At 42.0% G+C, this 22037-nt stretch overlaps 1 long non-coding RNA gene across 7 annotated transcripts in view; it reads right to left on the bottom strand.

Annotated features, from left to right (window-relative positions):
- The window catches only part of LOC105375721 (uncharacterized), a 121243-nt gene that overhangs the window by 80219 nt on the left and 18987 nt on the right, over positions 1-22037 (bottom strand). The window contains exons 2-4 of one of the 7 annotated variants that reach the window (XR_007061069.1): positions 21930-21988; positions 20223-21786; positions 1169-1278 (exon numbers count right to left, since the gene is read on the bottom strand). This is a non-coding gene — a long non-coding RNA (uncharacterized LOC105375721). Of the gene's footprint in view, positions 1-1168; positions 1279-13515; positions 17516-20222; positions 21989-22037 lie in introns of those variants that run through there. The other 6 variants (XR_001746050.1, XR_001746049.1, XR_001746046.1 and 3 more) reach the window with 6 other exon arrangements.

Consider the following 22037-nt stretch of genomic DNA (forward strand, 5'->3'; position numbering starts at 1 on the left):
TGTTTCCCTAAAGGATTCCTACAGTTGAGTTCATTAAGATTCTTAGGTTGGGATACCTAGAAGAAAAAACTGAGACAAGGATTCCAGTGTGCATGATTTACAGAGGGATTGCTGTCCAGAAAAAACAGCTAAGGGAGTGAGGAAAGAATAAGGAAGAGGGAGAAACATGGCAAGGATGTGGACCCAGATAAAGTCAGCCCTTGACCTGACCCACAGGGTGCTCTGGAGTATAAATTGCATGACACAATTATCACACCTGGAGCATCACCTGCACCCTGCGTCAGTCAGTTATTGTATGCCTCTGGGGAGTAGGAGATGTCAGCTCCCAGTATCGCTGAGTGAGGCCGATCCCGTCAGCCTAGGGTAATGCTCTGCAGAAGTCTGCAGGTGGATGCTGTTGGCTGTGGCACTCACTGCACCATCATAGCAGTTGTAAAGGGGCTTGGAGTGTGGCACCAATAACATCTACTGCGGAGGACTTCATACAGCCACTCTCCTCCCCCTGGACAGTTGGAGCCTGAAATAGGCAATGATAGCGGAGGTAGTTAGATGAGGTACTCATGAACTATTTAGATGGTAGAATTGGGAGGACACGCAGCTAATTCCATATGGGAGGCAGTGAGGAGGGACAGTGTTTAGCTGATGGACATAAGAAGTATAAGATTATACTCATGCCCTGGGGAACTGGAGGAATGGTGGGGCCATTGTCAAAGGTAAGGAACATGAGGAAAGGAGCAGGACTTGGAAAGGAACATAAATTCAGTCTCCAGCATTTTCATTTTGAAAAGGGAATCAATGGCTTATGAATAGCATACCTGGAGCTCCATAGGGGTTTCAGGGACCAATTATATTAGGAAGATGAGGCCAGAGAGAGGGGAAAAAAGAAAACCAAATAGTCTAGTGCTGGCCCTCATCCCATCCTACACTGGAGCACTTCTGCTATCTTGGTTTGATTCCCACAAATGCAGACTTTGAGGCAAGGATTAAGACACATTGAAAGACGATCTCACGGGTTAGGTGTGGTGACTCATGCCTGTAATCCCAGCACTTTGGGAGGCCAAGGCAGGTGGATCACTTGAGGTCAGGAGTTTGAGACCAGCCTGGCCAACATGGTGAAACCCCATCTCCACTAAAAATACAAAAATTAGGTGGGTGTTGTGGCTGGTACCTGTAATCCTGGCTACTTGGGAGGCTGAGGCAGAAGAATCACTTGAGATCCAGGCTTCAGTGAGTCTATATTGTGCCACTGCACTCCAGCCTGTGCAATAGAGCAAGACTCTGTTTAAAAAAAAAAAAAAAAAAAGATGACCTCAGGAAGCATAGGTGAGGATAGTGAAAATGAAAGAAACAGCCACCAAGGGAATACTCATGAATAGATTATCTCTGAAGACCACAGGGGCATGATCTGTTGGAAACCCTCTGACCATCCATGTATCCCACATGTTTCCCACTGAGGGATAAGAAGCTATTTTGCTACCGTGAATGGAACCTCTTTGGTTGAGGGTGTAAGAAACCCCTCAATGCCATGCTAGCTTGAAGACCAGCTGAGAGCCTGTGTAGAGGCTGCAGAAGAAAACTAGTGTGTAGAGAAGCACTCACACCTCAGCGGGCCACATAACCTGGGGCAAGGGATCCATGGCTTCTGCTGCACCTGCTCCACTCTGTTTTTCCATATAGCAATTTCTGAATTTCCATATAAGATATGTTTTTTGCTTTGTTTTTCTTTTTTAAGAGAAAAATCTCCTGTCTAGAAAAACAGGTTGGTCAGTGTCCTAAAATCAAAAGTCCGCAGCAGAAGGCACTTTGAACAAGCAGTTATTGCCTCCTCTGGTCTCACCTCCAATTCTCCATGTAAAATTAATAGTGTACTCTGGGGACATCCCTTCCATTATCTAGTCTTGGTGAAAAGGGACAATGGTAGAAGCAGGGTAATCTCTGCCATATCGATTTTCTGTGTGAGCTTCTTTGTGCCTCCAGGGAGACACCACTGCTTTCAGTGCCTATTAGCAGTTGTGTCTTTTAACCTCCCGGTCAGGCTGGCAGTGTGAGTCCAACAAAGGCTCCGGCTCCAATTACTTCGCCAGTACATAGCCTGGCTGAACTGGAGCTTGCGGCTCCACATGCTGGAAATTGCACTTTCCACCAATACAGAGACAAGCAAAGAGGGGCATTCAACAAATCCCCAGCTACAGCTCAGCATGGCAGGGAGGCAGAAAGGACCTATATACCAATTAGCCAGGCAGCTATGGCCATCAATCATGGGTGACCTGGGCACCCAGCATGTATGTCCATCCTGGACCCCACCACCGAAATCACACTGAAAACTTGTATCCAGAGGAGGCTTGAGACAGCCAAAGCTACAGGTGGCAAAAGCTTTCATTCCAGAAAGCACTTCAATCCCACAACCTGGAGAGGAAGGCCCATACGACCAGCATAAAATTAAAAGTGTGCAGTACTTACAGGACATAATTCTATGCTTACATGCATTTCTCAGAAAATTTTGGCAAAGACTGCTACCTTCTGAGCAAAACTGGACATAGAAATGACAATAACACATATTGGGTATTTATCACCTTCTTAAGAGATGCATAGCCATTTTCCTGTGGCTGAGACAGAGGTCTCTTTTAATACTTAACATTTCCTTTAGGTTGGCCTAATGCCCAAAGGGAAGCTGTAATAATCTCCCACATGTGAGTTTGGTAAAAAATTTCACAATGACAATTTAATTCACTACTTACTGCAGTCCTTATTATGGTCTTTGTACAACAGGTAATATCCCTGTTAATTTGAGAATCACTGTTAACCTGAACCTTTCCCATTGTTTTCAAAGCTTTCTCTTAAGTGTCAGAAACACACCCAAATACACCCAAACACACCCAAACTTGTATTTTAGCCCTTCTATTGTGAATATTCATTAAGGGTGGTGTGACATAGTGCTTCAGAGCACAGCTCTGGAGCCAGCCTGCCTGAGTTTGATTCCTGCTCTGTCACTTATTGACCTGCAACATCAAGCAGTTTACTTAACCTCTCTGAGGCTCAGTTTTACCATCTGTTAGATGAAGACAATAGTGTCTACTGAATAGGGTTGTCCCAAGAGCACTTAGAACCATGCTTAGCACAAATGCTGAGGCTACATAATGCTCAGCTCTTCACTTCCTGCTTCTCTGGTCATGGGTGTTATTATAAAAGTGCCCTTCCAGGAGTTTGAGACCAGCCTGGACAACGTAGCAAGACCCCATCTCTAAAAAAAAAAAAAAAATGTATTAGCCCAGTGTGGTGGTGTGTGCTTGCAGTCCTGGCTGCTTAGGAGGCTGAGGCAGGGAGATTGTTTGAGCCCAGGAATGTGAAGCTGCAATGAGCTAAGATCATTCCAATGCACTCCACCCTGGACAACAGAGCAAGACCCTGTCTCTTAAATTTTGTTTTAAAGTGCCCTCGAATTTTGTTAAGACCTCAGAAGCTGCTCCATGAGTGGGTGGTGCAATGTTATTGGAGCATGGGGGTCAGTGAGGAGAGCTAAGATTTCTGGGAGGCCAACAGAAGGGTTAGAATGTGCTTCAAAATTTAGTTGGGCATGGTGGTGTGCACCTGTAGCTTCAGCTACTTAGGAGGCTGCAGTGGGAGGATCACTTTAATCGGGTATGGTGGTGCACTCCTGTAGTTTCAGCTACTTGGGACGCTGAGGTAGGATCAAGGGAGGATCACTTGAGCCTGGGAGCTTGAAGCTACAGTGAGCTATGAACATGCCACTGCACTCCAGTCTGGGTGAAACACTGAGACCCCGACTCTAAAAAATATAAGTTCATAACAGTACATAATAGAGGAGGCTCAAAACACATGCCAGTGATGAAAATGAACCCTCGCTTCTGAAGAGAGCACTGCAGTGTCAACAGGTGGCTGCAAAGGTGGTGAGCATGACCCTGGACCAGGGAGGTTAGGCAGGGTCCCAGCCCAGCTAAGACTTCTTTTTGGAAACCAACATGGGGTCTGACAAGCTGTCTCAGTAATGAGGCTCTGCACTTTTTTCATTCTCCCCTTGCCAGATGGAGGCACCCCCGTTTAGCCATGCTGCTCCCAGGCCCTGCTCTCTGAGAAGGACTTGGTCAAACACTGCATCTCTGGATCCTGAGAAGTCAGACCAGTTATTTCAGTGCCTGGACCCTTCCTCTTTTCTGACCCAGTATTTCCAAAAGCAAGTCCATTGTTCAGCCTTGAAAACAGCTGATTGTGAGAGGGAGCTTATCACAGCCCAGCAGACTAAGAAAACATTTTAGAGAAAGAACATTTGGAAGGTTCATTAAAATGCTGAAAAAAAGAGCCCCCATTTTGGGGTACCTTCAGGGCTTTCTAACCTTTTTGGCAAGTGAGTTGTTTTTTTGTAAATAATACCTTACATAGGGCCCAAGGTATAAAATCAAGTGCAGGGCTGCTCTGTTGAAGGGGGGTCTATAGATGCTTCCACCTCCAAGGAGCAGGCTTTGGAGGAAACAGTTCTAGTGCATGTAGGGACAAACAGAGGAAGCAGAGACTACCTTCCCAGGGGCCCTCTCTTGGATGCGTGCCCTGCATTTCTGCAGCCTCTCTTTCCCTTTTCTGATGCTTTCCTCTCATTCCATCTGAAAAGTCACTACAAGTGCTAGAAGCTAGGCCAGAGGATAAAGACCTTGAAGAAAACTGAGCCTGACACCTAATATGGGATTGAGGAATAGAATGGAAAGGGGGAAAATACAGTGGGGAGGTGAAAATAACATCCTTAGCTGAGAAATGACAGGATGAACATGTCAAGGCAGTCTCAACATTTTAAACGTTTTCCAAGAAGAGAGTAAGCAGTGGCTCTTGCTAAAGGAAGTAAACGCTGTCACGGCCAAGCTCTCTGCACAGGTGGTACACCTAGGAAGGCTGGTGCTTGAAATGCTCCTCCCTGAATGTACCAGATAGCCCCTGGTTACGGAAGATTGTGCCTCCATGCACCCTTCTCAAACTGGCTACCCCATCCTAATAGGCTACAAGATTCCTGGCAGGGACTGCAGATTCTACACTGGTTTGGAGTCCTGCTACTTTAGCCGGCCAGGTAAGGAGATGTTTCACTCTCCTGCCCTTATCATGAAGAAGCATGAGACCAAGGAAAATCTGCATATATGAAAACTGAGGAATCCAGAAAAGATACCACAGGATTCTTTCTGCATGGGGTAAAAAACCTCTCTGTCATTTACAGAAAGTCTCCCCTAAGAGAAGAGATAAAGGTCATTATCAGGACTGGATTTGAAAAACTCTGATGTCAGGTTATACTCAAACTACTTAAAGCAGAATCTCTGGGGGCAGTATCTAGGTACCAGTGCCAGTGCACTATCAAGCTGCAGAGTCACTGCTTTAGAAGTTGTTACGGAGGGAGGGAGGGAAGGGAGGGAGGGAGAGAGAGAGAAAGAAAGAGAGAGAGTCCAAAACTTGGAAAGAAGAAAGAGGACTGCATGTCTTCTTTAGTGTCATACTGTCACATCGTTTTCCAGGCCCACCCAAAGATTACTGAACTACCTAGAGGAATATACCTCTGTTTGACCTTTTCCTTTCTATTGATTAGAACTCAGATACTGTTCAAAGTTAACCTGTACATTTGTAGCCAGTACACATGCAAATGATTTCTGTCCAGTAATAAAGAAAGCCCCTAAGGTTGCAGTTATATCACCCTATAGGATATTATGCAGCTTTGTATCTTATCTAGAAGTCTATCTCTAATTTGGCAATGTTCATCTAACATTCTTCTTTTATTGTCTGTCAATACGTAGTTCCTTTATTTTTCTTTGAATTAGCTTTACCATATTTTGGTTCACTCATTGATAAACTGAATACATTTTGACATGAATTCATTTTGACATGAATTCATTATATTTTGCATAAAAGTTTTTTTTAACTTTTTGAAAATTTTACTTTGAAAGTAGGCAACCACTTTTATATTCTCCATCAATGAGCTTAACTTGCTCCAATGCCAGCACTCTGTAAAAAACTTATCCAACCAGCTCCACTGATGCTGGAAATTCACATATTGGTAACTCATTGCTGAGTTAACTCTGCCATGTCGTCATACCTTAGATGAGTGGTGAACCAGATCATCCAGCCAGTCACTCATCTCTGACTCTGTGGGAATAGAACCATGAAGGAGTACATTTTGAAGAAATAGCATGAGTTGAGTAAAGCACTAGCATGTATGTAGGATGGTGAGGAGAATAATCTAGGAAGGGTGAGAGCAAATATGACAGCCTCTGAGGATGGAGGGGGAGAAGCAGAATGCCCAACTCAAAATGAGGTGATAGACACAAAGAAAATTAACTGCCTTCTTCAAAATTTTGAACTGGGGTAAGCCTGCTCCTGTTACATAAAGATGAATGAATGAGGGAGTAAGAGAGGTTTAATCAGTTACAGGCTGGATCAAATAGGCTCTATTGGTCTCATCTTTCAAGCATGCCTTACCTATTGGAGCAGCATTACAGGTAGCTTCAGGAGTGACTGCCACCCAGTGTGTGTGCCACCACGTTCAGGGTCCAAAGCTGGACCTAATGATCATTGACCATGTCTTTTCCATTGACTATGACCTTGACAAAGTCATATGCAGGCTGGTTCAAAGGAATCACTGCATCTATTTGAAAATTCACTGGCTTCCCTGATCATCGTCCTACTTAATGACCATATGTTATAATTTACTGTGGAAAGTCACCCTACTTCCTTCTTTGCTATAGTCGGGAAACCATATTTCCTGTTACATTAGCTTCTAAGAGACTCGAGTGAGCAAGCAAATTACAGATCTGAAGACAGGGATGCATCCCATTCCCATCCCTGACATGGGTCACACACCAGGCTAAAGTCAGCATTTTTCAGATAGTTCATCAGCAATACTAGGAGACCTTTCCAGCAAGGTTACTATATCACTAAAGCAATCATGTGTGTGAGTGCCCCCAGCCAGATTGAGCTAATTCAATGTGAAGTAATCAGAGATAAGAAAAAGCCACTGGAGTTATAAAAGTATACACATCAGGTACTTTACCCAAGAGGAAGGGGAAGTTTACTGGGAGGTGAAGGGAGTGCTTCAAAATGATAAGAAAAGTGAACTAGAGAATAAAATGAAGATTTTATTAGAAGTTAAGACAGATAATAGAACAACTTTTTTTCTACTATAAAAGGAATAAGAGGCCAACTAAGGACTCATCAGGGTTTTGCCAAGATAGGAAGAGTGGTCGTTTGCCAGAGGAGTTGGACATTACAGAAAAAATGGAGGAATGTGTTTTTTCAGTGCTCACCAGGGAGGAAAATGCACTGTGTGCCAATGCAGAAGTACCTTCCTTAAAGAAGAAAATGCAATCATGAAAACCACTGGGGCAAAAACATCTCCAGGAGGAAGAAGCCTTGGAAGTCCATTTGGAAATACTCAAGCCAGGAATTTCCAGTGCTCCTGAAAAGAAGAGAAGCAACTTCGAGCACATGAGGCAAGGAGAACGACTTCCATCTCTTTAGAGTCCCAATTCTTAGAGGTCAGGGAATAGGCACTGTCCCTGAGAACAAACCTTCTCATAATAATGGTAGGGCCTCACTGGCAGAGCTGAATGTCAATGCTGGGTGTAAGTTTTCTCTCACTGCCAAGTTTCATCATTTCTCTCCCTATTACTTGCTCCTTATGGGAGTAGAGTTGGGTTGAACATTTGGTCTTAGACCAAGGGGAACTAGTCAGAAAGCTGGGAATAAAAGCTTTTGCCAAAAGCCCGTGTTCTCAACTTCCACACCCAGCTTGGCACCAAGCAGAAATTTCCTGTTTAGTCCGGCCCTATTAGGCCCCAGTACTCTATTTCAGTGATTGGTGCTGAGAAAACTCATTAGCCATTGGGAAAATATCATATTATATCTCTACCTCACACCATATAGAAAAATATTACAAGTAGATTTTTAACCATAAAAATATTGGAAGAAAATATGATCAAACATTGGAGACAATTCTTCTACCTATGGACTAAGTCTCAGCAAAAATGATGCAAAAAGTGATGCTGTAGATGCTGTATATGCCTGGTTCAGGCACCTAGGTTCTTTTTTTTCTCTTGGAAGCGTGATGTGCCAGTTTCCACAGTTACTGCCACAAAACCCTCTCTGGAGATCTGTCCTTTGGCAACTTATGCCTCCTGAGCTGGAAGTCTCTGTCAGCTCTTCTCCCTAGCCTCGTGAAGCTGAGGCTAGACTTAATCCAAACCCACATCCTTGCTTCTTCCTCTCTTTCATCCTAATTCTCTCACTTTACTCACAGTTTTCTTAAAACTGAATCCTAATTCCCTTATTTCACATACAGTTTTCAAGAAAAACTAATAAATCTCTTGGAGGGCAGATCATCTGAGCCCAGGAGTTTGAGACCAGCCTGGGCAACATGGCAAAACCTCATGTCTACAAAAAAAAATACAGAAAATTAGCCAAGCATGGTGATGCGCACCTGTAGTCTCAGCTACTTGGGAGGCTGAGATGGGAAAATCACCTGAACCTGGAAAGTCAAGGCTGCAGTGAGCCATGAGTGTGCCACTGCACTCCAGCCTGGATAACAGAGTGAGTCCTTGTCTCAAAACAAAACAAAACAAGCAAACAAACAGACATCTCTGCTTCAGTGTCTGTGTCTAGGAAACTCAACTCTTGATACCTGACTTAACTAAATAAAAATGTAAATAATTATTATGCAGAAATATAAATACATTTAAAAAGTTATGTCTCTATGTATGCATACATATGTGTATAAATCTATTTCGATGTCGTGGGCTGAATTATGTTCCCCAAAATTCATATGTTGAAGTCCTAGTCCCAGTACCTGGTTATGTGACTATATTTGGAGATAAGGCCTTTAAAAAGGTAATTAAATTCAAATAATGTCCTTTGTGTAGACCCTAATCCTATTTGAGTGGTTGCTATCCTTATAAGAAGGGGAAATTAGACACAGAGAGAGATATTAAGGCACCAGTTCACAGAGGGAAAAGCAATGGTCACAGTGAGAAGGGGACAATTTATATGCCAACAAGAGAGACTCCAGGAGAAACCAAACTTGCTGACGCACTGATCTTGGACTTCTAGCCTCCAGAACCGTAAGAAGATAAACTTCTGAGTTTAAAACACTCAGACTGGTCGCAGTGGCTCACGCCTATAATCCCAGCACTTTGGGAAGCCGAATGGGTGGATCACTTGAGGTCACAAGTTCCAGACCAGCCTGAACAACATGGTGAAACCCCGTCTCTACTAAAAACACAAAAATTAGCTAAGCATGGTGGTAGGCACCTCTAATGCCAGCTACTGTGGAGGTGGGAGAATCGCTTGAACCCAGGAGGCGAAGGTTGCAGTAAGCCGAGATGGTGCCACTGCAGTCCAGCCTGGGCAGCAGAATGAGACTCCATCTTAAAAAAATAAAAAATAAAATGCCCATTCTATGGAACTTTCTTTTTTTTTTTTTTTTTTTTTTTTTTTTTTTTTTTTTGAGACGGAGTCTCGCTCTGTCGCCCAGGCTGGAGTGCAGTGGCGGGATCTCGGCTCACTGCAAGCTCCGCCTCCCGGGTTCACGCCATTCTCCTGCCTCAGCCTCCCAAGTAGCTGGGACTACAGGCGCCCGCCACTACGCCCGGCTAATTTTTTTGTATTTTTAGTAGAGACGGGGTTTCACCGTTTTAGCCGGGATGGTCTCGATCTCTTGACCTCGTGATCCGCCCGCCTCGGCCTCCCAAAGTGCTGGGATTACAGGCGTGAGCCACCGCGCCCGGCCTATGGAACTTTCTTATGGCAGCCTGAGCAAACTAATACAATTCATATAGAGATATATAGTATCATTATCTCTCTCTCTGCCTCTTTCACACACACACACACACACACACATACAACATACACACACACACACAGACACATGTGACATTTCAAAACATCAAAATATACAAAGAGCACCCATAAATCTCAAAAAATAAAATAGAAAAAATGAACAAGTGACTCAACTAGACGATTCAAAGAAGAATAAATCAAATGCCAATAAATACCTGAGAAGATGTTCAGTTTCATCGTGTTCTCCTTTTAGGTGGCACCTGCTCTACCGGCCAAGCCCTATCTCCCTATCACTCCTTTGCATGTTATTGTCCAGTCCAGCTCTCCTGCATTAGCAAGCCCACAGCAAGTGCCTGGACAGTTCTGTGCACATGGTAGGCACTAAATAACTATTGATGACAATGTAATAGTGCTCCGAGGTACACAGAAAACCATTTTTAAGGTAATTCAAGAAGCTATCATAATGGTTTTGAAAAATCATAAAAGAGGAAGAACAACTAGCTCCAGTAAGAGAGAAAACTGTTCATCACAAGTAATGAAAGAAATGCAAATCAAAAGGCAATGGGGTTACTTTTTGCAAGTTTGCATAATATATATAACCAAAAGCTAGAAAGCTTTGCTACTTCGGGTGCAATAAAACATATTTTTGGTTTGCTGATGGCATTGTCAGTTGGCAAATACAATTTGGCAATGCACTCCTGGCCATGAACTTTAAGGAAAAAGTCAAAATATGAAAAACACCATGTGAAAGACAATGTCTACAATCATGCTGCTTATGATAACAAAAAATTAGAAATACCCCCAAATGTCCAATAATAAAGGAATCATCACAGAAATTTCAGGACATTCACTCAAGGGAGTAATAAGCAGACACCAAAAATGGCAACTACAAAGACCAAATACCAATATAAAAATTAACATAAACGCACAACTTAGGATATAAATTTACATATGGACGATCATTATAGCTATGCAAACACATGCAAGTAAAGAAAGACAAGGATGAATACAGGAAAACTTGTGTTGTTAGGACTTTTTTTCTTTTTCTCTCTATTTCAAACTTTCTCAATCTTTGCACTGTGCATTTCTTGAAAAGCTAAAGTCTTATTCAGGAAAACAAGACATTCATATGTACCTGGATAAATGAAGTAAAAACAATGCTGGCCATTTTTAAAAAGTAAATTGTAATGTCAGAATCCCAAAATAAAGACTTAGATATTAATAATAGCCACTGACACTTCCTGAAATCTTACTAAGTGCTAATAATGTGCTCGATGCATTTTATGAACTGTCTCACTTAGTCTTCCAATAAGCCAATGAGGGAGATATGATTATCTTTCCTGACTTAACTTTTGAGAAGATGAGTCCTAGAGAAGAGAAGTAACCCATCCAAGAGCACATAAGCTCTGCAGTTAGTAAACAGCTGTCACAAGGTGGCTAGCTGCCCCCAAAAGCATGCATGCTTCCTGTTCTACACTGCAGAATTGTTGCTGAGAAAGAGCTGCTGAGCCAGGGACATTTCCCAGGGCTGCTCACTCCCTCCCCCAACCCATCCTTTCTTTTGCATCCAGATGGAGCCACCTTCCTAGAAGGCAGACAGCACATCTTGTAGCCTGTCCTTAGCAGGGCACATGCTGCTCTAGGGAGGAGAATCAGGTCTATAAATCAGTCAGAAGTCTGAAACTAATATCAGCAACAGAAATAATTACCCTTTTTAAAAAAAGATTGTATTAAACCATGGCAATACTATTCTTCACCAATTCAACTGCCAGCATTGAAAATATGTTACTTCCGAGAATAGAAGAGAGTGCCAGGAAATGGGTAATTTCCTAACTTGCTGGTGGAGAGTAAGTTGATGATTCTAACTTTCTTTGGGACAATTTATTAATATGAATCAAGACTTCAAGAACTTTAGAATTCTGTAAGACTTTTGACCCAGGAGTTATTTTGGAAATGATCTTAATGAAATAATAAGTAATGTGAGTAAAGATATATAGCAATTGTATTGCTTCATCTCAGAAATTTGTATATTAGAGACTAGGAGAAACCATTTAAACATCTAGTTACAGGGAAGTAGAAAAATTATACTTTGGCTACACAATGAGTTACTATGCAGCTATTTTAAATTATGTTGCAAGAGAATATTTAATACCAGGGAATGATTATGATACATTATACAGTGTGATTCCATTCTTATTGCATTTGTAAAAGCACAGCTATATCAGGCATGAATTTGCTCTTTCTGTGCAGGTGCAAGAACTATCACATTTCTTTTTCTAATTCGAATGAAATCTGGCTTAGAACCCCCATCCTACATGGCTGAAAGAGCCTTATTAAAAACAGCTGGGCCTCCCTCTCCCCACACCACACCCTGTACACATACACATCTTCCTGTAGATCTTCTGACTATCCCAATGCTTCTTGTGGTACCAAGAAATAAAAATGTGCAGGTTTTCAGGCCATGGTTGTTGCCTCTGCTGCCATAATGCCTCAAAATATACCTGGTATTGACAAGGGCTGCAGTTCTGGAAGGAAGGTGGAAAGAGAAATGCCTTTCATAGTACTGGCCTTGTCACAGGCTTGACTACAGGAGGCTTCTGCCATTGTACTCAAAGTAGTGGGGTTGGTGTTCTGTCCTGGGAGAAGCACCATCAGAGGTTTTGCCACTGTTGGTGTGTGGGGAGGGGGTGCAGGTCTTAGAAGACCTGTGATCATTTTCTCTTCTCAACCTCCCCTGGATACTTCACCTCTTTTCTAGGACCACTTTATTTTATTTTATTTTATTTTTGAGACAGAGTCTTGTTCTGTTGCCCAGGCTGGAGTGCGGTGGCACAATCATGGCTCACTGCAACCTCTGCCTCCCGGGTTCAAGCAATTCTCCCTCCTCAGCCTCCAGAGTGGCTGGGATTACAGGCATGTGCTACCATGCCCGGCTAATTTTTGTATTTTTAGTAGAGACAGGGTTTCTCCATGTTGGCCAGGCTGGTCTCAAACTCCTGACCTCAGGTGATTGCACCTCGCCTTCCCAAAGTGCTGGGATTACAGGCATGAGCCACCGTGCCCGGCCCACTTTACCTTCCATATTTAAACTCCAGTTTATCTCTCTCCTCTTCTTGTAGGACAATTCTGCCTTAATTCTATGACTAACCTAATCTTCCAAACTAATGTTTTGCCTGATTATTTCTTTGATGACCCCAAGACCCAAATAAACTGTTAGTCTCCATCCTTTAAATCCAATCCATATACCTTTGCCCACTTATACTCAGAGGCACACACAAACCCACACACAGATGAGCTTAAACCTTAGAATTCAAAGGCATGAGTGGCTTTTGAATTTTTTTTTCCCAGAGGTATGTGCATGTGTTGAGAGAAGAGGATAGAAAAGAAAAGGGTGAAATGAGAGAAGTAGGGAAATTAATTATCATTTTATTCTCTCTCACTTAAGCAGTGAAAACAAGTCAACAAACCTGCCACATATGTGTGCATTATAAAGCCTTGAAGAAAGTGTTTTTCTTTGTGTGATGGGGTTATAGGAAAATTCTTATTTTCCTCTTTGTATTAATTATTATTTTCCAAATTTTCTACAAAAACTATTTATTCTACAATTTAAAAGAATGCAATTTCTTTCCATGTTAAGATATCAACTATTTTTTTTCTAATTCTTTTACCACCTTTTGTATTTCTAAAACAAAGAACAACTGAAAAGCAATGAGAAGTACTTTATTGAAGGACACAGACCATGACTGTAAAGGCATTTTGAAAAACAAATGAGAAAGAAAGTCCAAAAATGTTTCTTAAGTGGTAGCTCCACTGGAATCAGTGTGCAGCTTTCTAAGGTAATGAAGTAAATAGTAACATTGATTTTGGATGTAAATATTTGAATTGATTACTTTGCTTGTCTTGGTTTTAATCTTTTTCTCTCCCCCTAAAGAACTTCCACACATGATGCCACTATGGGGGTGTGTACCCACACTGACTAAAAGTACTTATACTTAAAGAATGTTTTGCTATTCCCAATCCAATATACAATCCCATTAGAAGGTAGGTTAATAGATAGCCCCAGTTCAAAAAAGAACTGCTATTACCCTCCATTTTTCCTCTCTCTGAATCAGAGATTCTCTTGACAACTATCAACAGCCCAACCATAAGATACGAATGGAGATGGTAATCATGCCACAAAAAAAGCCCAGCAGCCCCATGGGGGTGCCTGGAATGGTGAGATTCCCATGTTCCCTTCCAGGGCATTTTTCAATCTAGAAACATTCTATTTCAGCAATCTCTCCTTTCAGACCCTTTTCCATCTGAGCACCTATCCAGACATTAAAATTCGTATCTTCCTTTAAGAAATCTCCGTCACAAAGCCATCATCACCCTTGGCTCCAGCATAGATAAGTCTTACATGTGTGATCAGAAGTACCCTGGAGGGAGATAGGAGGTGGGGGAGAAACTAAAAGGGCATAAACAGAAAGTGTTCCTCAACATTTTCCCCCATTTTCACCTGATTCAGAAACACCTTGAGTTCATTACCAAATCCAGAAATTATTTAACACAGATGTACTTAAGGAGTTCTTGCCTTTTTGTCTGTTTCTCAAGTTGCCCTTCATCACCCTGAAGTCATGACCAGGTTTTTTAGCAGAAAAAGTCAACACCTGCAGCAGGCTTGGCCAAGGACTGAGCTCATCTCCTAGTCACTGGCTCCAGGTTCAGGTGCTGCTTCCTCCCACGCTTCTGCATGTCCTTGGTTTACAAAGCAGATCCTACTCACAGGGAGCTCAGGGAAGAACAGTTCCTTCATATTCAGCTCTTCCAAAGACAGTCTTTGGATAGGCGGCTGTAGCCAATATAGCACAGTATTCAAACCATCCTCTCCCAAATTCACATTGTTCTGCATCCCACCACTAATAGATTGTGGTGTTCCCAAGGGCTATGTTTTTAATTAACTCAATATTTATTGATTTCTATTGTATGGCAATCATTATACTTTTTTGTCTTTGTAATACCAGGTCTTGGTCATAAGAAGCATATAATAAGTGTTTGTTTTTCAATAAATGAATATTTCCTCACCTAGAAAGTGAGCTCTAAGAGGTCAGGAACTTGTGCCTGACACCTCCTGGGTGCTTAAAAATTCTTCGTTAAAATTAATTAATTAGTTAACTCGTGAGTAAATAAAATAATCAACCCATACCAAAAAACTTTGTAGCTGACAGTAGCAATAAGTAATACATCTGTACAATGAAAATATTTTGACTTTTGGAATTAGACCCAGATCCAAATTCTAGGTTTATCTATATGTCCCCATATATAGAAGGAAATCGTATTTATCTGATTGAATCATGAGGATTTAATGAGTTATTAAACATAAAATGCTTGGCATATTTAATGGATATAAAGTGCCTGGCTTTTCTAATGAGTCAAAGATGCTAGTTTCTCACCTTTATCTCCTGTTTCTGAATCTCAGTTCGTCATCCTTAAAATGACAATAATAATGGCTACTTCATCATGATGTTGTGAAGATTAAATTGCTGTGGAAAGTTCCTGAAACAGTGCTCAGCAAAAATCATCTCTATTTTTCTTACATTTCCCCTAATTTCATTATGTAGCTAATGTGTGAAGCTGGAAGAAAGAAGTGGATTAGCCATTCTTAAGAGTCTTGGGACATGTGTTTCTTAATCTTCAAGACTCCCTGGTCTTCAACCCTTCAACAGCTCCCTGGAAGAAGAGGTTGTAACCAAGACTGGTTGTGTCCTGAAATTGATGCCTCTCTTTTTCTCCAGTCTAGAAATCCCTGAGATTTAATACAAGGATTCTCAGAATAAAACTACATTCCCCAGCCCCTCTTGCTGTTAGCTGTGGTCATGTGACTGAGTTCCAGCTGACGGATTATGAACAGTAGTGATGAATGCACATCTAAGTCCTGCCTTTATAGGGGAGGAATGTGTGTCTTTCTCTTTCCCACTTCCTGTATCTGAAACGCAGACACAGTGGCTAATCATCTTAGACAATGTGGACAAGGGCACTGACCTCTGGAAAGCAGACAACAAGATAATAGTAGCTTAGTCCTTCCTGCTGCTATAACCAGGGTCTCAGGAATTTGACAGGAATTGGTGCAGGAATGTCTCAGTCTATTACTAAGTATTAGTAATACTCAATATTATTGCCACTATTACCCCAGACTATGTCATTCATAAACAATAAAAATGTATTTCTCATGGTTCTGGAGGCAGGGAAGTCCAATACCAAGGTGCAAACAGGTCCAGTATCTGGTGAAGGCCCTCTATTTGCTTCATGGGTGACATCTTCATCCTGTGTCCTCATGTGGTGAAAGAGTTAAGGGAAGCTCATTCCAGTCTCTTTTATAAAAGCACTAATCCTATTCATGAGGATGGAGCCCTCAAGACTTAATCATTTCCAAAAGTCCTGACCACTTAATACTATCACCTGGTGTATTGGGTTCTAACATATAAATTTTGGGGGTATACCAACATTCAGATCATAGAAGTAACCTAACTCCCCGAACCATGGAGAAATCATGTGAGCCCCTGAATGCTTATGTTCAGCTATCTGAGAGAGAAAGAAATGTTTCTCTTGCTTAAACTACAGATACTTGAGTCTTTGCTGTTTCAGATGAAACTAAATCTGATCTAATACAGAGGCATTAGGAGATCTTCGAATATCCAGGCATTGTTAATGACAAATCCTTACCTTAGGCACTTTTTAAGCCTCCCCCATAGGGATCCCAGCCACCAGGCAAGGCTAATCTGCTTGGTCGGCACTGCCTGCTCACCCTCTTACTGGCCCGCCTACCCAGAGATTTAAAGTTCCCACCTAGGCAACCAACCAGAATCCAATCTAGCCTTGAAAGCCCCTTCCAGAGCCAATCTTGTCAATGAAGCTTTCCCTGCTGAATGATAGCTCTCTGGGATCTCTCCCTTGTCTGAGCTCCATAGCAGCTGACTAGACCATCTGTTGTTTGGTTCCAACCCCATTCTGTTTTCTAGCCCATGGGTTTTCATCCCTATGCCCTTCCTCTTTATATTAACAAATTCATTAAGAATAAGATCCATGTTTTAGGCGTTTTTATCAGATGTTTGTATCTTTATCTGATTTTGGAAGTCATTTCTAACCATGAAGCATCATACTCTGTACTCTAGAAGTAAAGTGGACTTTAGAGATTGGTTTCTACATCTTCCTAAATTGTGATGTCTTCAAAGGCAAAAAAAAACTGTGTCACAATGAGCTCTGTGTCCACAGTAACTGATTCATGCATGTACCTCAGTCAATGCTTACAGATTGATAGATAGATGAATCTTAGCAGGCCCCCGTCATCTAGAATAATGTCTTGTCCTTAATGCCTACATGCCTCTATAAACTAATTACTTAATGTGGGTGTTGCCAAGGAAAGAAACTGTGAAAGGAAAATAAATTTTGGGTACCCCAAATCACTAAGCTAAAGGGAAAAGTCAAGCTGGGAATTGCTCTAGACTAACCTGCCTCCCATTCTATTCAGTCACCCCTCTGCTCACTGAGACAAATGCATATCTGATTTTCTCCTTTGGAGAGGCAAATCAGAAACTCAAAGGAACACAACCATTGGTCTCTTACCTACCTATGACATCCCGCCTTTGCTTCAAGTTGTCCCGCCTTTCCCAGAATGAACCAATGTTCATCTTACATATGTTGATTGATGTCTCATGTCTCCCTAAAATGTATAAAACCAAGCTGTGCTCTGACTGCCTTGGGCACATGTCATCAGTACCTCTTGAGGCTGTGTCATGGGCGTGCATCCTCAGTCCTGGCAAAATAAACTTTCTAAATTAACTGAGACCTGTCTCAGATATTTAGGGTTCATGAAGCTTTTTGATCTTTGGATTTGGAACTTACATTTCCTAAAACACTTTCGTTTGTAGGCAATAGAGGCTTGACAAACTGATTTAGGCAAAAAGTAATTTTAGTTTCATAGAACAGGAAAGTCAAATGAGTACCTTCAGGTAATACTGGATACGGACATTCAAAAAAAGTCAGCAGGGTTCTGTTTCTTTCTCTCTCCATATCTTAGACATGTCTCTCCATACTTCTTTTCTGTGATAGCTTCCAGTAGCCCAAGACTTAACATAGCAAACTCAGCAGCCCAACAAAAAACATGTTCCCTAATATTTGTATAAAACATGTATCAAGGAGTATTTTGATTGCTTTACCCAGCCTGGACATGTGTCTATCTTGAATCACTATGGCCAAGAATTTGGGGTACTTTACTAGACACATCTAGGTCACATGTTCACCTGTGAGACTAGAGGAGAGGGCCAGCTGGGTTAGCCCCATACAGGCTCCAGAATAGAGAAAGGTTATGTTCCAGAAGAAGAGGGACAAACCAACATATGTCCATCACTGTCCTGTAGCTGATACCTCCTTCTAGACTCAGTCAGCTCAAAGGTTTTGCCTGGGATCCACATGATTCTAGATTTCTTCTTGGCCTGGCGCAGTTGCTCACGCCTGTAATCCTAGCACTTTGGAAGGCCGAGGCAGACAGATTGCCTGAGGGCAGGAGTTCGAGACCGCCCTGGGCAACATGGTGAAACCCCCTCTCTACTAAAATACAAAAATTTAGCTGGGTGTGGTGACAGGCACCTGTAATCCCAGCTGCTCAGGAGGCTGAGGCAGGAGAATTGTTTGAACCCAGGAGGTGGAGGTTGCAGTGAGCCAAGATCACGCCACTGCACTTCAGCCAGGTCAACAGAGACTCCATTTCAAAATAAATAAATTAATTAATTAATTAAGTAGATTTCTTCCTACCATCTTCTTGCCACTGTTCTCGTCCTGCAGTCACTTCAGTACGTTCCTTCAGTGTCTCCCCTTGGCTCCACCCCTTCCTGCACTGCCAAAGTGTAATTGATAGTTTAGTAGGCAGAAAGAGAGTGGGCATCCCAGGATTGGGGAAGCTGATTTACCTTCTGACTAATTCAAACCTAGGGTCTGAGGTAACTGGAGCAAGTCCCTGGTGATGCCACACAAGAGAATTCTGCTTCTAGGCATTCCTTTCTGACAGGAAAGAAATTCATGCTGAGCTTATTAATTGGCTCCATCAGCCTGTCAAAAAAGCACTTGGTAGTTACTCTAATCAAGTCATTTGTTTTTTCTAGTTGAGATCAGTTATTCTCCAAAATCTTCAGAAGGCACTGGATTCCTCTAGCCGCTGAAAAGATGGGTTCCTTGAACAATACAAGTGTCTAAAAGTCTCTGTTTGCCAAATTTGCCAGCACTTGGTGAATGCAGTTTTTCTCCCAATAAGAGAAAAGCTTCTCAAGATTGTACACTGAGAGTTTCAAGAATAAATTCTAGATATAATAGAGCTCTAGAGCCACCTACCCCTTTCCAGACCCTTGCCTCCTCCTACCAAGCCACACCAGAGCTTCTCTGAAATCTCAACCCAAGCCAGAATTTGTGTGGAAGACTTCCTAAAGTACTTTGGCCTGCCTGAGCATTCGTGAGGTCAGTGTCTTCTTCTGCTTTTCTCTCTAGCACTTCCTAGGATATATTTAACACTCCCATGATCTCATTTATTAATAATGTGGACTTACAACTTTACAGTTTGCAAATAACCTTTTTCAAGCATTATTGTGGATAACTTTCCCAAAAGCAAGGAGAGATAAATAGAACTATTGTGCTCTAAGAGGAGAGAAAACTGAGATTCAAAGAGTATTATGTAATAGCTTAAGGTTACATGGCTAGTAAGTGGCAGAGCCAGGTCTCAAACTTATGTCCTCTCATTACAAATTCCTTAACTTTTTGTTCCGTAACACAGTCTCTAATTATATCCTGTTGGATGAGTTTGACTCCCAATAAGTCTGCTACCTTGAGGATACAAGGCAGATTTTTGTTTTGTTTGCCTCTGAGTTCTACCTGTAGAAAGCTAGCATAGCTCTGTGTGTGTGATTGGTATTCCAAAATAATTTGTTGACTGAGGGAATAAACCATTGGCCGCTGTGTTCCTGGTGAACTGAGTTGTCTTGGGAATTCAGCTTTGTAGGCAGGGTCTTACTGTCAACTCTAAGAAAGGGAGGCCATACCTTCATTAGCATCTGGAGGATGTGCAAAGTGAAGCCTTCCTGTGGTAGTGGTGAGAATTGATCATTCACACAACCATTCATTCAACCAATACTATTTTCTGTCTTCTATGTACCAGGCAGAGTGATAGGTGCTGACTATAAATTGATAGATAATATACAGACACACCCAACCCAGAAGAGCTTACACCTCTTTGAGGGTCTTGGACTCTAATAGGAGTCATCTAATGATGATGTCTTCATTGTTCTCACCTGTATTCATTTTCTACTGATGAGTAACACATGACCACGAATTTTGCAACCTAAAACAATACCAACTTGTTAACTCAGACTGTGAAGACTCACCTGGGTTATCTGCCAAAGTTCTCACAAAACCAAAATCAAAGGTCAGCCAGGTGGAGTTCTTATCTGAAGCTTCTGAGGAAGAATCTCCCTTGCAGCTCATTCTGGTAGCAGAGTCCAGTTCCTTGTGGTCGTAAGATTAAGGTCCCTGTTTTCTTGCTGGCTGCCAGTTGGGGTTTTCTCTCAGTTCCCGCAGGCTACCCTTAGGTCTTTTCCATGGGGCCACCTCCACCTTTAAGTCTCATACTTCCCCTTTTTCTACCAGCTGGAGAAAGCTCTGCTCTTAAAGGATTCATGTCATTAGGCCAGGACCACACAGATAGTCTCCCCTTCTTATAGTCAATCTCCCAATATAACATCACCTGCTCACCAAGGAGCACTCACAGGGGAGAAGATTTTACAAGGCATGGATCACTGGGGTCACCTTAGAATCTACCAGCACACCACCTCTGCCCAATTTCAGTCACTTAATCACTTCACATGGGCATTTGCCACAATCTAACAAGTGTGTTTTTCCCTGTCCTGTCTCATCCATATTTAATCAGAGGTCACAACACTATACCTTTGCATATGCCCGTCTCTCTTCCTGGAATGCTTTCCTTGATGCTTATCCTCCAACAAAATCCCCTTTAAACTTAATCCTCCTTAAGACTCAAAGGTTACACCCTCTGAGGGTCTTCTCAGCACCCAGCCACCCATCAGAGTTAAATAATCCCTTCCCTCTGTTTTTTATGAGACAATCCATCTCATCACACCAGAATCTAATCCAGACTATTATCGTCTTAAACACCAGACTGTGAGGTCTCTGACATCAGAGTTTGTGTTTCATTCATCTTTGGTTTCCCAGGGCCTCCCACGGATATTGGCACATAGTAAGTGCTCGGAAAGTGTTTGTCAAATTTGAATTGACCTGAACTTTCTATCCTCTGTTCTGCGGATTCATGATTGGAAGAGCAGCACAGATTTGAAGTCTAGTTTGGGGCATAAAGTAAAATATCTGCAATTTTTACCTCCCAGCATGGATTATTTGGTGTTCTGATTATTGAACCCTAATAAGCCATTATGAAACCACAACACCCCCACTTTCCATCCATGCAATCAACATGGGATTTCCTTACTACCCCATCCAAGTATAGACTCACCTATGACTCAGGCTTTGCTAATAAGAGGCACCGTGATTGATTCCAAGATGGACACCTGATGCAATTCAGCTGATGACATGCCTTTCATCCTCTTACACCCTTTGGGAAAGCAGTTTTCTCTTTCCGTCGGACTTGTGGAGCTGGTAAAATAAAGACTTGAAGCAACTAGTGGCTTTCTCTGCCACCCTCTAAAGGAAACCTCATAATGAACCAACACAGAAAAAATAATAGAACTAAGAGATGACAACAGAGAAACACTGAGTCCTGAAGACATCATGAGCCACTGGACTGAGCCACGCCTAAAGCTTGTCATCTTTTGAATTGGCCAGTAAATGAAATCTCTTCTTACTTACATTTCCACTGACACACTTTCCCGTTTATTAATTAGCGTTGGGTTTCTGTTACTTGCAACCAAAACCAAAACCCTGAAAAACACAAGACAGTAATCTCTAATTATGGGGAAAAAATCCAAAAATAACTAACCCCTTCTTACCTCATTAGTCTTCATGAAAACTGAACAAATGGGGTCATTGGAAATGCCACTGCTTCCAAGCTCTTCAATACTAACCTGCTCAATCCTTTTTACTTTGTGTTGGAATGCAAAGACCAAGGATTTGGGGACTGATACTGTAATGAGTAACAGAACAGAGAGTATTGTTCATTACTTTCAGAAGCA

This window comes from Homo sapiens, chromosome 8, assembly GCF_000001405.40.
Source record: "Homo sapiens chromosome 8, GRCh38.p14 Primary Assembly".
Taxonomy (NCBI): domain Eukaryota; kingdom Metazoa; phylum Chordata; class Mammalia; order Primates; family Hominidae; genus Homo; species Homo sapiens.